The sequence below is a fragment of the Homo sapiens genome, chromosome 2, assembly GCF_000001405.40.
Source record: "Homo sapiens chromosome 2, GRCh38.p14 Primary Assembly".
NCBI lineage: Eukaryota > Metazoa > Chordata > Mammalia > Primates > Hominidae > Homo > Homo sapiens.
Genome location: NC_000002.12, coordinates 203018076 through 203032382, shown reverse-complemented (window position 1 = coordinate 203032382; position 14307 = coordinate 203018076). Strand labels below are relative to the sequence as shown.

Sequence of the window (14307 nt, the reverse complement as noted above, 5' to 3'; positions counted from 1 at the left end):
CCCAGCTGTTCTTATCTTCTTAAACAGATGATGCAATAGTTATCTATTCCTGCATAACAAATTACCCTAAAATTTAGCAACTTAAACCAACAAACATTTATTATCTCACTGTTTCTTATGGTCAGAATTCAAGAGTGGCTCAGGTTGGTGCTTCTGGCTCAGGATTTCTCATGATCTCATAATGAACATGCCAACTAAGGACACAGTCATACCAAAGCTTGACTGGGCTGAAGGAACCACTTAAAAGCTCACTCATATGGTAGTTCGCAAGAGCCTTCTATTCTTTACAAGATGGGCCTCTCCGTAGGGCTACTCATTACTGAACTTCTGGATTCCCCCGGAGTAAGCAATCAAAAAATAATAAAGAACAACTGAGGTGAAACAGTAGTGCCTTTCATAGCCTAATTTCGGAAATGACATACTATCACTTTTGCCAAATTCTACTGATCACACAGATCAACAATGGTACAATGTGGGAGGGGATTGTATACAAGAGTGTAAATACCAGGAGGTAGAATACCAGGAGGTAGAATCTGAAGACTGGCTACCACAAATGACTAGTTCATTAAGTTTTAGTCTTTTTTATTTCTAACATATGTATTTAAATTTTCCTAAGTAATTCTGTAGCTACCAAGTTCTAAAATGTACTTTTATCGTTCAATTTTTTAAAATTCCAATTTTTCCCCCATTTCAAGATAGTCTATTTCTTTTTCAAAACTGCCAGGTCACTTTTTTCATATTTCTATGATTCTAAGATTCTTAACATTTGACATCTTTGAAATTAAAATGCATCTCAAAATTGCCCTTAGAGAAGTAGCTGACATTTGCTCTTGCCTGTTCATGTGCAAACCTGGTAGTAGACTTCATATTGACATTCCTTCACTAGATTAACATGTATAGTTAGTACTACACATAAGTTTAACTACCACTCAAAATGTCTTCAAAAAATTATACTGTGATTAGGCAATAAAATGAAATTGTATACAAAGAAAGGCATTGAGAACAGAGCAACAGGATATAATTTGACATTAACGAAGCAAATATTCATTACCATAGGAACGATCACAATTGTATGTTTTCTGACGAAAAGCTTAGTGCTTTATAAACTTGAAAATGAGAGATACTCTCAAATAGATGAAAAGGAAATACATGTGTGGAAAGATTATCTATCATAAGCCAAACAATGCAAACGAAGACAAGAGAAACTGCCAAATCACTAGGAAAAGATGAGAGAAATTTCAAAACAATGAGAACCTGGTATGGTCAATTCATACATCAGGAAATAAGTTATAAATCTGCAGTTTAACTGCCAGCATTTTTCTAAATGTTACATAAAGTAATGGCATATCTTACAATCCATGTTTTCAGATTCCGTGATATATAGAATCTGTTCAACTTTTTTTCTGAGATAGCAACAACAGCTCACTGCAGCTTCAACATACTGGGTTCGAGTGATCCTCACACCTCAGTCTCCCAAGTGGCTGTGACTATAGGCATGCACCACCATGCCTGGCTAATTTTTGAATTTTTTTTGTAGAGACAGGGCCTCACTATGTTGCGCAGTCTGGTCTCAAGTGATCCTTTCATCTCAGTCTCCCAAAGTGCTGGGACTACAGGTGTGAGCCACTGTACCTGGTATATTTATTTTATAATCTCTGCCTTCTAATATCAACATATGAAGTCTTTCTAGATCCATGTTTACTGTCTACTTCTGTTGGTTCTCACTCATGCACTTTCCCCTGAAGTCCTAGTGGAGGGAGGAGAGTTAAGTGTGTTTGCTTAGAATCTAATTGATCCTTATGCCAAAGTTGTAAGCTTTGGGAATCAGAAGGGAAATTTTCTTAGATTTCTCATTCCGGTTAGTCCCTTGGCTTTACATTTGATATTTGTTATTATTATTGTAAATTGTTCTTTATTATTATTATTATTTGATCACTTACTCTGGGGGAATCTAGAAGTTCAGTACTATGGAGAGGCCCATCTTGAAAAGAACAGAAGCCTCTTCTAACTCCTACCCACTTACAAGGCCATGAAAACAAAACCTCAAGTTCACCAGGCAAAAGAGACTTTCATTTACCTAAGTTTCTGCTTTCATTAAGATTTGGTTTCATGATGTCTTACCATGTTGCCAGTTTTTCAATGCTTTTAAGATGTTTCTTAAATTTTATCCAGAATTTCTAGTAATTTTCAGAAGGATAAGTCTAAACAACCTAGTCTACCTTATTACCAGAAATGAAAATCTATACTTAAGGACCACTCTTCCTTTGTTCGGTCATGCCTTACACTTGCCTGGAACATCTTCTGTAACTATTAAGCTACTATAGATCCTTTAAAACCTTGATCGATGCTACCTTTTCCACTAAGCTATACCTGATGACTTCATCCCTCCATCTTGCTTTAGTTTACTTATTATCTGGACCTACAGTCTAAGTGGGAAACTGATTCTAGCTGGAAAAGCATGCCCTCAGATGAAGTCATAGTCAATTAAATAGAAGAAGGCAAAAATTTTAATGAAAGGAAAACCCATCACATCCAAGAGAGGTTTGGAAGCCACTTTAACAAAAACAAAAGTAGTAATATTGTAATAGAGGTGTATATATACAAAATAGGCTTAGAATACACCAATTCCTAGTGAGAAAGGTTTCAAATTTTACTTTTTGTATGTTTTTATTAGCTTTTTTTTTTTTTTTTGAGACAGGGTCTCACTCTATTGCCCAGGCTGAAGTACAGTGGTAAAATCATGGCTCACTGCAGCCTCAACCACCTGGGCTTAAGTGATTCTCCCACTTCGGCCTCCTGAGTAGCTGGGACCACTGGCACATGCCATCGTGCCCGGCTAATTTTTGTATTATCTGTAGAGGCAGGTTTCATCATGTTGCCCCAGGCTAGAACTTCTTAAAAGTTTATGTAACTATCCATTCAGATAACTAATAAAGTTCCAGGTCTGAACAATATACTGTAGAAAAATCACAGTTAAAATCAGCAGAACTGGCCCACATCTGCAATGTTAGGTAAAATATGTCCTCTTGCATGAATTCTGTGTTTATCTTGGAGTTTCACACATGGTGGTCAGGTAAAGAAGCTTCTGATGCAGGCTGGGTGTGGGGGCTCATGCCTGTAATCCCAACACTTTGGGAAGCTGAGGCGGGCAGAGCACTTGAGGCCAGGAGTTTGAGACCAGCCTGGCCAACATGGTAAAACCTCATCTCTACTAAAAGTAAAAAAATTAGCCAGGCGTACAAAAATTAGCCACCCTATAATCACAGCTACTCAGGAGACTGAGGCACGAGACTCACTGGAACTCGGGAGGTGGAGGTTGTAGTGAGCTGAGATCACACCATTGCACTCCAGCCTGAGCAGCAGAGCAAGACTCTGACTCAAAAGTTTCTGATGCAGGTGTTTCTGGGAAGTCAGTCGAGTTATCAAAAGGGCGCATTGTGGTCCAGGATATAGATGGTAGGGAAGGTTGTGCATGTGTGGGGACAGGGGGTATATGGGAATGCTCTATACTTTCTGCTCAATTTTTCTGGGAACCTAAAACTGCTCTAAAAATACAATTTATAAATTTTTAAAAAATTAACCAAATAAAAAAATAGGAAAATATAAAATTCAAGGGACATGTGCATACAGCAGGCACCCAATAAAAATGAGTCAAACGGGACTAAAGTTAATTCTTTAGGAAAGAAAAATATTATTACTATAAATGTATTAAATATATTAACATGTATATATTAATATATAGACATATTAATATAACATTGACACTTGTCAAATGGAGTTTAAAACATTCCATGAAACTTGAAATGATCTTCAAGTTTCATGTCAAGTTGAAGTTTTTCAAATTAAATATATTAATAATTTGTAGTAGTAAATGTAATTAATTTACACATCCATAAAGAACTAAAAGTCTCTGAATAATGAGATTTTCTGTAACTGACCTCCTGCATACCTGTATTTTTCAAATATTCTACAATTAAGTTATATATCTTAATTAAAAAATTAAAGCTCAGCATAAAAGTAAAATATTACTATTTTTTCTTAGAACATAAATCCAATCAAAAAGTCAGGCCAGGCACAGTGGCTCACACCTATAATTCCACCATTTTGGGAGGCCGAGGCATAAGGATTGCTTACAACAGGAGTTCAAGATCAGCCTGGGCAACATAGCAAGACCCTGTCTCTTAAAAAAAAAAAAAAATTGGGCCAGGCTCAGTGGCTCACACCTGTAATCCCAGCACTTTGGGAGGCTGAGGTGGGCAGATCACTAGGTCAAGAGATCAAGACCTTCCTGGCCAACATGGTGAAAAACCATCTCTACTAAAAATACAAAAATTAGCTAGGCGTGGTGGCACGTGCCTGTAGTCCCACCTACTCGGGAGGCTGAGGCAGGAGAATTGTTTGAACCCCAGAGGCGGAGGCTGCAGTGAGCCAAGATCACGCCACTGCACTTCAGGCTGGTGACAGAGCGAGACTCCATTTAAAAAAAAAAAAAATTGTTCAGAAAATAGCCAGGTGTGGTGGCACACACTTGTAGTCCTAGCTGCTTGGAAGGGTGAAATAGGAAGATCACTTGACCTCACGAGTCCAAGGTTATAGGGAGCTACTACGATTATGCCACTGTACTCCAGCCTGGGTGACAGAGCAATGCCCTGTGTCTTAAAACAGAAAGTCCATATATTTTTCATTTTTCTCCATAAAATAAAGTTCATTCACTAGAAAGGTTAAATTTTGTATTTTGAACAGACAAAAATCACTCAATAAAAAAGAGGTATAAATTCACCTCACAGTGGCATCATAAATTACACACCTTTCCTACCATTCAAATGTTCAGTGTCAGTAAAAATTATGTAGCAGTTAAATGCATCAAACAACATTTTTTTTTTTACAGAGGTAAACTGTTTTGAAATGCTTGACTTTTGTGTGAAATGGGTATATCATTTAATCTTCTTTAAATCTGGGTAGATACCACTACCAGCCTGAAGGTAAGTCACAAAACATCAAGAAAAATGTTGATATCTCTTAGATATGGCTAAGTTATTTTTTCATTTTTTAAGACAGCAGGGTCTGTATAAAATATATTTGAGTAGAGCTCATTTCCATTAATGAAAACAAAGTGGCACATTATAATGTAAATTCCATTATTTTAAATAAAAGCTGACAAAGGGATGAGGAAGCAAGTGTTACTAACCCTTGCCTGAATTCTGATACCTTCAAAGGATTTCAAATATGGCTATGGCACATTTCATAGTCAGTCTACATAGTTCCCTATATCTTAATAGATTTTGAATGACCAGGACAAAATTGTCACAAAAAAACTGAATTATATTTCCACAAAAGAAATCAAGAGTTGGGGGTGGAGGAGTTAAAAATAATAAGAAGAAATCAAGGGTTTTTGTCAACAGCCAGGCTGAACGTATATTAAAACACTACAAGGCATTAAACTTTGACCTAGAAGCATTTTACTGTACGTCTTTAACAATGAAAGACTATTGAAAATTAAGTGGAACACCTGATTCCAAATGAACCTACTTAAAATGCATAATGAGGATTCTACTAAAGGAGAATATTTAGGCCAGTGGCTGTGGCTCACGCCTGTAATCCCAGCACTTTGGGAGGCCGAGGCAGGCAGATCACAAGGTCAAGAGATTGAGACCATCCTGGCCAACATGGTGAAACACTGTCTCTACTAAAAATACAAAAATTAGCTGGGCATGGTGGTGCACACCAGTAGTTCCAGACACTTGAGAGGCTGAGGCAGGAGAATTGCTTGAACCCGGGAGGTGGAGGTTGCAGTGAGCCGAGATCACACCACTGTACTCCAGCCTGGAGCCTGGAGACAGAGCAAGACAAAGACTGTCTCAAAAAAAAAAAAAAAATTTAAAATGGCAACTACTGAATACCAATAATTAAAGCAAGTAATAACAGTGATTCTTTTCAATTATGTGAAGTCTTAAGAATATCATTTCTCTACAACATAATAGACTAATTATCCACATCTTAATGTATACACACATAAAACTATTCTTAGTAATTGTATAATATATTCTAAGAGGTGCAAACAGGTAATATGAGAAATATCAGCAGACCTAGAAAAAAATGAATAAGGTAATAAAATATCTAACATTATAAATTACACTGATCTATGATTTAAAGTGGTTATACACAAAAAAACAGACATAAATATACATGTCTCAGCCCCAAATTCTGAAGCTAACATAACAGGAAAACCTAATCTTTTTCCTGCTAAAATGAGGAGCAAGACAAGTATATCCCTTATTTCCATTACTATAGAATATTATGTAGGAGTTATAAGATAATATAACTAAACAAAAGAGAACTAGAAGCAGAAGAATTAGAAGGGGAGGGAAGTCCTCATTTTCTGTAGGGGACTTCCTAACACAGAAGGCAAGCTGCTGAGAGAGCTGCTCAGTCACAACAAAGTGTAGTCTCCAATGCCCACTTCAGATACAGCAAAAGGAAAATGATGGGATAAAAAAAAAAGAACCTCCAAGAAAACACAGCCAAGAGCAAGAGAGAAGAGTAGCCAGGGCAGGTACTGACTCATATCATGGAACATTTCTTCCCTGAGGATAGAGAAACCAGGCAATATTTGCCCAACTGGATTTGCAGAGGACAGATACCAAGTGTCCTCTGAGTTCACAGACCATAATATCAAGAAAAACCACAATTGGATCTATATATACCACAGATCCCATGTTTCAAGACTGGTGTCATGATTGGATGAGAGTTTTGGAGTTCTTGAGATAGATATGAAGTACATTTTGCATATAGGAGAAATATGAATAATTGTGCCTAGAAAGAAGACTGCAGTAGATTGGATCTTTGGTCCCAATTCTTTACTTGCTTGTAACAAAACTTGCAACGTAATTTTGCAGAAAGGAAAAAAAAGCTGTAGCAAATGTAGAGCAATCAAAGTATTTCAGATATAATAATTGTTCAAGACTTGTTTCTAAAACTAAGGTCCGAGAATGCTCGGAGTTATCAGAAATATTTTCAGAGGTCTATAAGCTCCATATAGAAATTTTTAAAGTTTGCACTCCTGTTTTTATTAATTTTTAAATTACTTTAAGCATATTAGGGAAAACTACCTCGCGACTAGTATTGCTACTCGATTTCAAAGGTCACATTTGGATTGCTACCAAGGGATCATCAGTGACAGTTCAATTTATAAAGCAATATGTTTCAAATTACAGATCTCTGGATTTACAGATGGATTCTAAGGTATCTGAGAATTTTCAGATGTTCTACAGCAGTGCCACACAAAGTGTGGTACACAGACCAATAAAGGTCCTTGGCCAGGTTAGTACAAAGATAAAGAGGAAACATCTATCTACAAACTTTAGTAGCAGTTTGGTAGTAATTTTAAGTCTGTTGAATTTAATAATAAAAAATTAATAATATAAGGACTTGCATTTTTAACTTTTTCATTCTTTTCAGAACTGCTTTTGGAAAAGCCATCAATTTATGTATGTATGTATGTATTTATTTATTTATTTATTTCAGACAGAGTCTCGCTCTGTTGCCCAGACTGGAGTACAGTGGTGCGATCTCGGCTCACTACAGTCTCCGCCCCCCAGGTTCAAGCGATTCTCCTGCCTCAGCCTCCTGAGTAGCTGGGACCACAGGCCTGCACCACCATACACAGCTAATTTTTGTATTTTTAGTAGAGACGGGTTTCACCATTTTGGCCAGGCTAGTCTCGAACTCCTGGCCTCAAGTGATCTGCCCACCTCAGGCCGCCAATAATATGTAAACTGTCAAATCCAATACATGCTCCATAATGCTTTTCTTTTTTTCTTTTTTTTTTTTTGAGACAGAGTCTCACTCTATTGCCCAGGCTGGAGTGCAGTGGCACAAATTTGACCCACTGCAACCCCGGCCTCTTGGATTCAAGTGATTCTCTTGCCTCCTAAGTAGCTGCGATTACAGGTGCATGCCACCCCACCCAGCTAACTTTTGTATTTTCAGTAGAGATGAGGTTACATCATGTTGGCCAGGCTGGTCTCAAACTCCTGACCTCAAATGATCCTCCCACCTTGGCCTCCCAAAATGCTGGGATTACAGGTGTGAACCACCAGATGCGGACCGTAATACTTTTCTTGACTGCCATGTTGAATTTGACACCCCTGACTACTTTTTTCTTTTTTTCTTTTTTTTTTTTTGTGTGAGAAAGAGTCTTACTCTGTCACCCAGGCTGGACTAGAGTGGCATGATCCCAGCTCACTGTAGACTGAAACTCCCGAGCTCAAGCAAATCTCCCACCCTGCCCTCCCAAAGAGCTAGAATTATAGGCATGAGCCACTGCACCCAGCCAATATCCCTGTACTTTCTGAGGCAACCCAGTCACTCCTGGCTCCTCTCTCATTTAAACTTACAAACTCTTCTTCCTCTGTCACCTATTTATTTATTTATTTAAATAACAGAGACGTGATCTCACTGTTTTGCCCAGACTGGTTCCAAAACTCTGTCTTCTTCTTAAATGACAATGTTCTTCAGGGCTTCCTTTTACCTTCTTCTCTTCTTATTCTCATAATAACCCTCCAATAATTCCCAATATGAGAACTCTCAAATCTTTATTTCCAGCACAGACCTCTCTTCTGAACTCCACATATTGAGTATTTCTACCTGAATGTCCCACAAACATGGAAAAGTCAGCATGCTTACCTGAAAACCTAGTTAGTGATCTTGTCTAGCTAACTGTGCATGGGAAGACCACGGTGTTTTTTTTTGTCCGAAACAAACAGAAAAAAAAAAAACACACAAGAAATTATTTCAGACTCTTACACATCTGCACATTATACTCCACACTTACACTTAAGTACTATCAATTTCACCTTCTTCCAGGGAAATTTAAAGTTTGATGCTCAAAAGGAAAGAATTTAAAAAGTTAATGCATCTTAACAACGTTTTTCATTTCAGGTCCACTGATATAAACTATACATTTCTTGCTTTCATACCTAAATTCTGAAAATAAACATGTAAGTGGTAACTACTAGTACTAGGCTGTCAATGATTTTGTTTTCTTTTCTTTAGAGTCAAAGAACATTACCTTCCTTACATACAAAGCTGTTATTAAGCCACAGAAAATCAAGAGCCATTTTCACACTTTGCACATACCAGAGACTTACTAAATGTGGCTTAAATTATAAGGGTTGATATGTATTGGTCCATCTTACTAAAAACTTATTTAGGATTATAACCAAAATTGTACTAATAAGTTAATAATTTTCTCATTAAACAGATATTCACTAATTCCATTTTTCCAAATCTATGTATAAAAAGAGATACTTGCCTTTTAACTGAATAAAACACCTCTAAATTCTATTTTCTTTTTGAAACAAAACTTTTATTCTGAAAAGGAAGTTTACTCTGAGCTCACTGCAAAACTATCTATTTCAGTCATATTCCAGATTTAGCAGGACAAAGGGCAACAGCAGGAAATGGAGCATCATCAACATCCAAAATAAATTTGGTTTAGAGTAGGGAGGACCCTCAAATCATTATTCAAGATAATTAAGCACTATCCTTGAAAGCAAAAATAAGTACAGATTTAAAATCAGTTAAGACATTCTCGGTTAAGACATTAATGAATACAGCTTCATTACTACTGATAAAATAGTAAGAGAATATTGCCCTCTATTATTATATTAATACAAGGGCAAATGGAAGTAATCCTGATACACACATGTCCACACCCACACATCTGCAAAATACTTATAAAGATTACATTTTTATCTCTCTTCCTCTTAAAATACATTTAAATAAAATCTCTTTTCTAAAAAATTTTGACAGATATGTAAAATAGTTATGTTTTTCCATTTGACAGATGAGAAAACTGAGATACAAAGAAACTAGGTTAACCTTTTAGGTCCTTAAGATCAGACACAGAATTGGGACTAAATATCACCTCTAATACTGCAGCTTCACAAAACTGTTCAGGGCAAAATTCAATCTCAATAAAATAAAATAAAATAAAAAATTTTTTAAAGCTAATGACAAAAATGAACCATGGTTTTCAATCTACACTGCCACATTTCAAAATGCTGTGCTTTTGAGTCACTTTGTATGTTTTTACTCAGTTAACGCATTTGATACTTTACACCAGACAGAACAAAAATAGCTTAATCTTATCTAAGACTTTGAGAGGCTCAGTTTCTTTTTTCTACATATTCTAGTGACCAACTAACTGCAGCACTCCCAAAAGGCTAAGTGTCTAATAGAAATACGTCCTTAAGTCTGTCCAAGGGTTGCAGTTGAGATAGGGAATTTATGATACATGTCTTTTTCTTTTTCTTTCTTTTTTTTTTTTTTGAAACAGAGTCTTGCTCTGTCGCCCAGGCTACAGTGTAGTGGCGAGATCTCAGGTCACTGCAACTTCTGCCTCCCGGATTCAAGTGATTCTCCTGCCTCAGCCTCCCGAGTAGGTGGGATTACAGGTGCCCGCCACCGTGCCTGGCTAATTTTTTTTGTATTTTTAGTAAAGACGGGGTTTCACCATTTTGGCCACGCTGGTCTCAAACTCCTGACCTCATGATCCACCCACCTTGGTCTCCCAAAGTGCTGGGATTACAGGCGTGAGCCACTGTGCCCAGCCGATACATGTCTTTTTCTACACACATATGAGTCTCAAAACTTTGTATATAATAATATAGAAACAAAAATTGTTCTCAGCACCATCTCTCTTACTGTATGTTAAAAGTGAATTATCAAAAAATACAGTGAATAACATGGTGCCTACTACATATATATAAACTAATTTTTTTTTTTTAAATGGGGTCTCACTCTGTCACCCAGGCTGGAGTGTAGTGGCACGATCTCAGCTCAATGCAACCTACACTTCCCGGGTTCAAGCAATCCTCCCACCCTATCTCCTGAGTAGCTGGGACCACAGGTGTGCACCATCATGCCTGGCTAATTTTTTTGTATTTTTGGTAGAGATGGGGTTTCACCATGTTGCCCAGGTTGGTCTCAAACTCCCAAGCTCAAGTGATCCACCTGCCTCAGCCTCCCAAAGTGTTGGGATTACAGGCATGAGCCACCACACCTGCCCTGAAATCTTTAGACATTAAAAAAAATACTGGGCTGGGCGCAGTGGCTCACGCCTGTAATCCCAGCACTTTGGGAGGCTGAAGAGGGTGGATCGCCTGAGGTCAGGAGTTCAAGACCAGCCCGGCCAACATGGTGAAACCCCATCTCTATTAAAAACAGGAGTTCAAGACCAGCCTGACCAACATGGTGAAACCCCGTCACTACTAAAAATACAAAAATTTAGCTGGGCCTGGTGGCATGTGCCTGTAAATACCAGCTACTCGGGAGGCTGAGGGAGGCAGGAGAATAGCTTGCACCCAGAAGGTTGGAGGTTGTGGTGAGCTGAGATTGGGCCACTGCACTCCAGTTTGGGCCACAGAGTGAGACTCCGTCTCCAAAACAAACAAACAAAAAACTGTATACTTAAGTACTAGTATTAAAATACTTCTATACTTAAGAAAAATACACTCAGACAAGAAGTAGTTAACTACTGAACTAAAATCCAGATACAAGATTAAACCTGTTCAAATTAATGTTTAACTTATAAGAGCTATAAGAAATGTGCTGTTAATCAAATCCTTGACCCTGGGTGGGGACAACCATTTGAAGGCAAGAAGAGTTCAGACTATATAATTTGGGGTTTTTCTTTTTTTTTTTTTTTTTGAGACAGAGTCTCACTCTGTCACCCAGGCTGGAAGGCAATGGCGTAATCTCGGCTCACTGCAACCTCTGTTTCCTAAGTTCAAGCGATTCTCCTGCCTCAGCCTCCTGAGTAGCTGGGATTACAGGTGCATGCCACCATGCCCGGCTAATTTTTGTATTTTTAGTAGAGACGGGGTCTCACCATGCTGGCCAAGCTGGTTTCAAACTCCTGATCTCAAATGATCCATCCACCTCAGCCTTCCAGTGAGCCTTACAGACATAAGCCACTGCGCCTAGGTTCAGACTATACAACTTGAATTAATAGTCTTATACACTGGTGAAAGAATCTTTAGAAAGCAGGACTGTTGGGTGATTAGAAATCATCCTGCTTGTATTATACAATAACAACATAAGGTTTACAAAGTAACCTTTTAGGAAGAAGACACATGTTTCTAACAATTTAATTAAAGCCTATTCCTAGAAGGAGAAAGTGAAGTTAGACCTGAAAAGTTTGGTAAGAAACCAAATTGCACATCACAAAGAAATGGTAAGTATGTGAGGTGACAGATATGTTAATTAGCCTGATTTGATGATTCCACAATGTATCAAAACATTACATTGTACCCCATAAATTATTATCAATTAAAATTATTATCAATTAAAATTATTTATCAATTAAAATTATCAGATAAAATTATTATCAATTAAAAATAAAATCAAATAAATTGCCAAGTTTTATACTCAAATTCTTTCAAATATTGGGACTCCATCTGCTAAAAACTGAAACTGGTAATTTATTTTAATTCTACTTAAAGGACTTTAGTCACTAGTATTTAAGCTTACAATTGAACCCAGGCAGAAGACATATATATTCCATTAGCGTTCTTTTAGCATTGCTGTGACCAAGCAGTATTACCCAAGGGTTATTTCTGAGGTAGTACTACTACTAGACCTACTGAACTTTTGCAATGTTCAGGGACAACTTTAAAACCTGACAGAAACGCTGTGATGGTAGGTACCTTAATATTGACCTATTGTTAATACACTGTGGAATATCTGTGCCAAGGTTAGCACTGTGGCAAATACGGAGGAGGTCTTAACCTTACTGCCCGGAAGCAGTCCTTCATAAATCTTCCAAGGTGTCTTCTTTAATCAGGTATGTATACAATGTTTTGTGTAGACATCAAACCAAGCAGGGCAACAAAACAGCAGACACTTTAATCATTAAAGATGGACTTTATACTCAAGAAAAACAATTGATCATCTTGGGAGGATGCTAGTAAATTAAGTCATTGTGAAAACTGACAAAGAGAATCAAACATATATGCCACCTGCCTTCCCTTTAAGGAACTGTAATCAAATGCTGATAGAGACAGTTCTCAATATAAATTATACAGTTTTGCAAAATCCTAATAAAATAACACATATAGGCAAAAATCACAGATGGCCGCTACACTAATAAATTATTCTAGCCCTTCACACCCAAAACAACCCAAATCAATCAGGCCTCTGTTCGGTCAGTTTCCAGATACCAGAAGAGAGGAACAATTAAATAAAATCAAGGGAATTCAATGAGCAAAACGTTCAAACTGTAGAAAACTCTAAGGTCAAAATCTGGTTTCTTCAACACATAAACAGCAAAGAATAAAAATATGGTGAAGGGGAGCCTATACATGAAAATGTTTAGCAGATATTTTCAACAAAATACATGTATACTTTGTTTTAAATACTGAGCCAAACAGTGGGAAAATACGAATATTAAGAAACTAGGAGGAAAGTAAGAACATTGATCACATATTTGATAATTTTAAAAATTGTGTCATGATTGTTTTTAAGAGGAGTTATTACACATATTTAAATATTTACAGATAAGATCATAAATTGTCTGGGATTTGCTTTAAAATAATTAGGAGATAGGGCAAATTGACAGTTATACATAAACTGTGACTGAACATGAGCTGGTAATAGTCAAAATTGGGTGACAGACACAAAAGAGTTCACTATAACATCTCTACTTGGTGCATGCTTGAGAATTTCCACAATAAAAGTTTTAAAAAGAAAGAACTAAAAAGTTCTACATAACCATCTACAGAATAAGAACAACAACAACAAAAAAAACTGCTTGTCCCTCAGAGGTAAAAACAAACAAAAACCTGAATACTGAGTTAGATAAGCATTCTCCCTGTATATACATACATGCACACATGCTTACTCAACAAATGAGAAAAACTGAGACCCAAAGAGTAAGTCTTGTTCAAGGTTACAAAACAAAGCAGCAGCAGAGCCAAAACTAAACTACGATTTCAAGCTCACAAAGAGGTCTAAGAAGCTTTTGAAACTAAGTGGTAGAAAATATTTTCATAAGAAGATCTGAGTCCTCAAGTGGTCTGAAAGCTCATTAAAAGTGTGAAAAAAAAAAGCCTTAAAAGTTTGTCAGCTGGGAAAAAAAAAAAGTCAGCTGGTTTGAGAGGCTAAATGCTAGAGTGAGAATAATAAGGCAAAAAGTATAGAGAACAACTGGGTACAGTATTTGGTAGTCATCCTCATTAGAAAGAAGACTTAAATCTATGAGGTATATTTGGTAGCTACCTGATTCAAGGTGTCTGCAGAAGAGAA

General features: G+C 37.1%; 1 protein-coding gene across 8 annotated transcripts in view, besides 1 other annotated feature; it reads right to left on the bottom strand.

Moving 5' to 3' along the window:
- Window positions 1-14307, bottom strand: part of NBEAL1 (neurobeachin like 1) — a 210587-nt gene that overhangs the window by 192812 nt on the left and 3468 nt on the right. The window lies entirely within an intron of this gene.
- Window positions 13823-14117: a silencer, noted in NCBI's record as "tiled region #6032; HepG2 Repressive DNase unmatched - State 2:TssF". NCBI's record gives its function as "represses a minimal TATA promoter and a strong SV40 promoter by Sharpr-MPRA in HepG2 cells {active_cell/tissue: HepG2}" and the evidence as "EXISTENCE:reporter gene assay evidence [ECO:0000049][PMID:27701403]".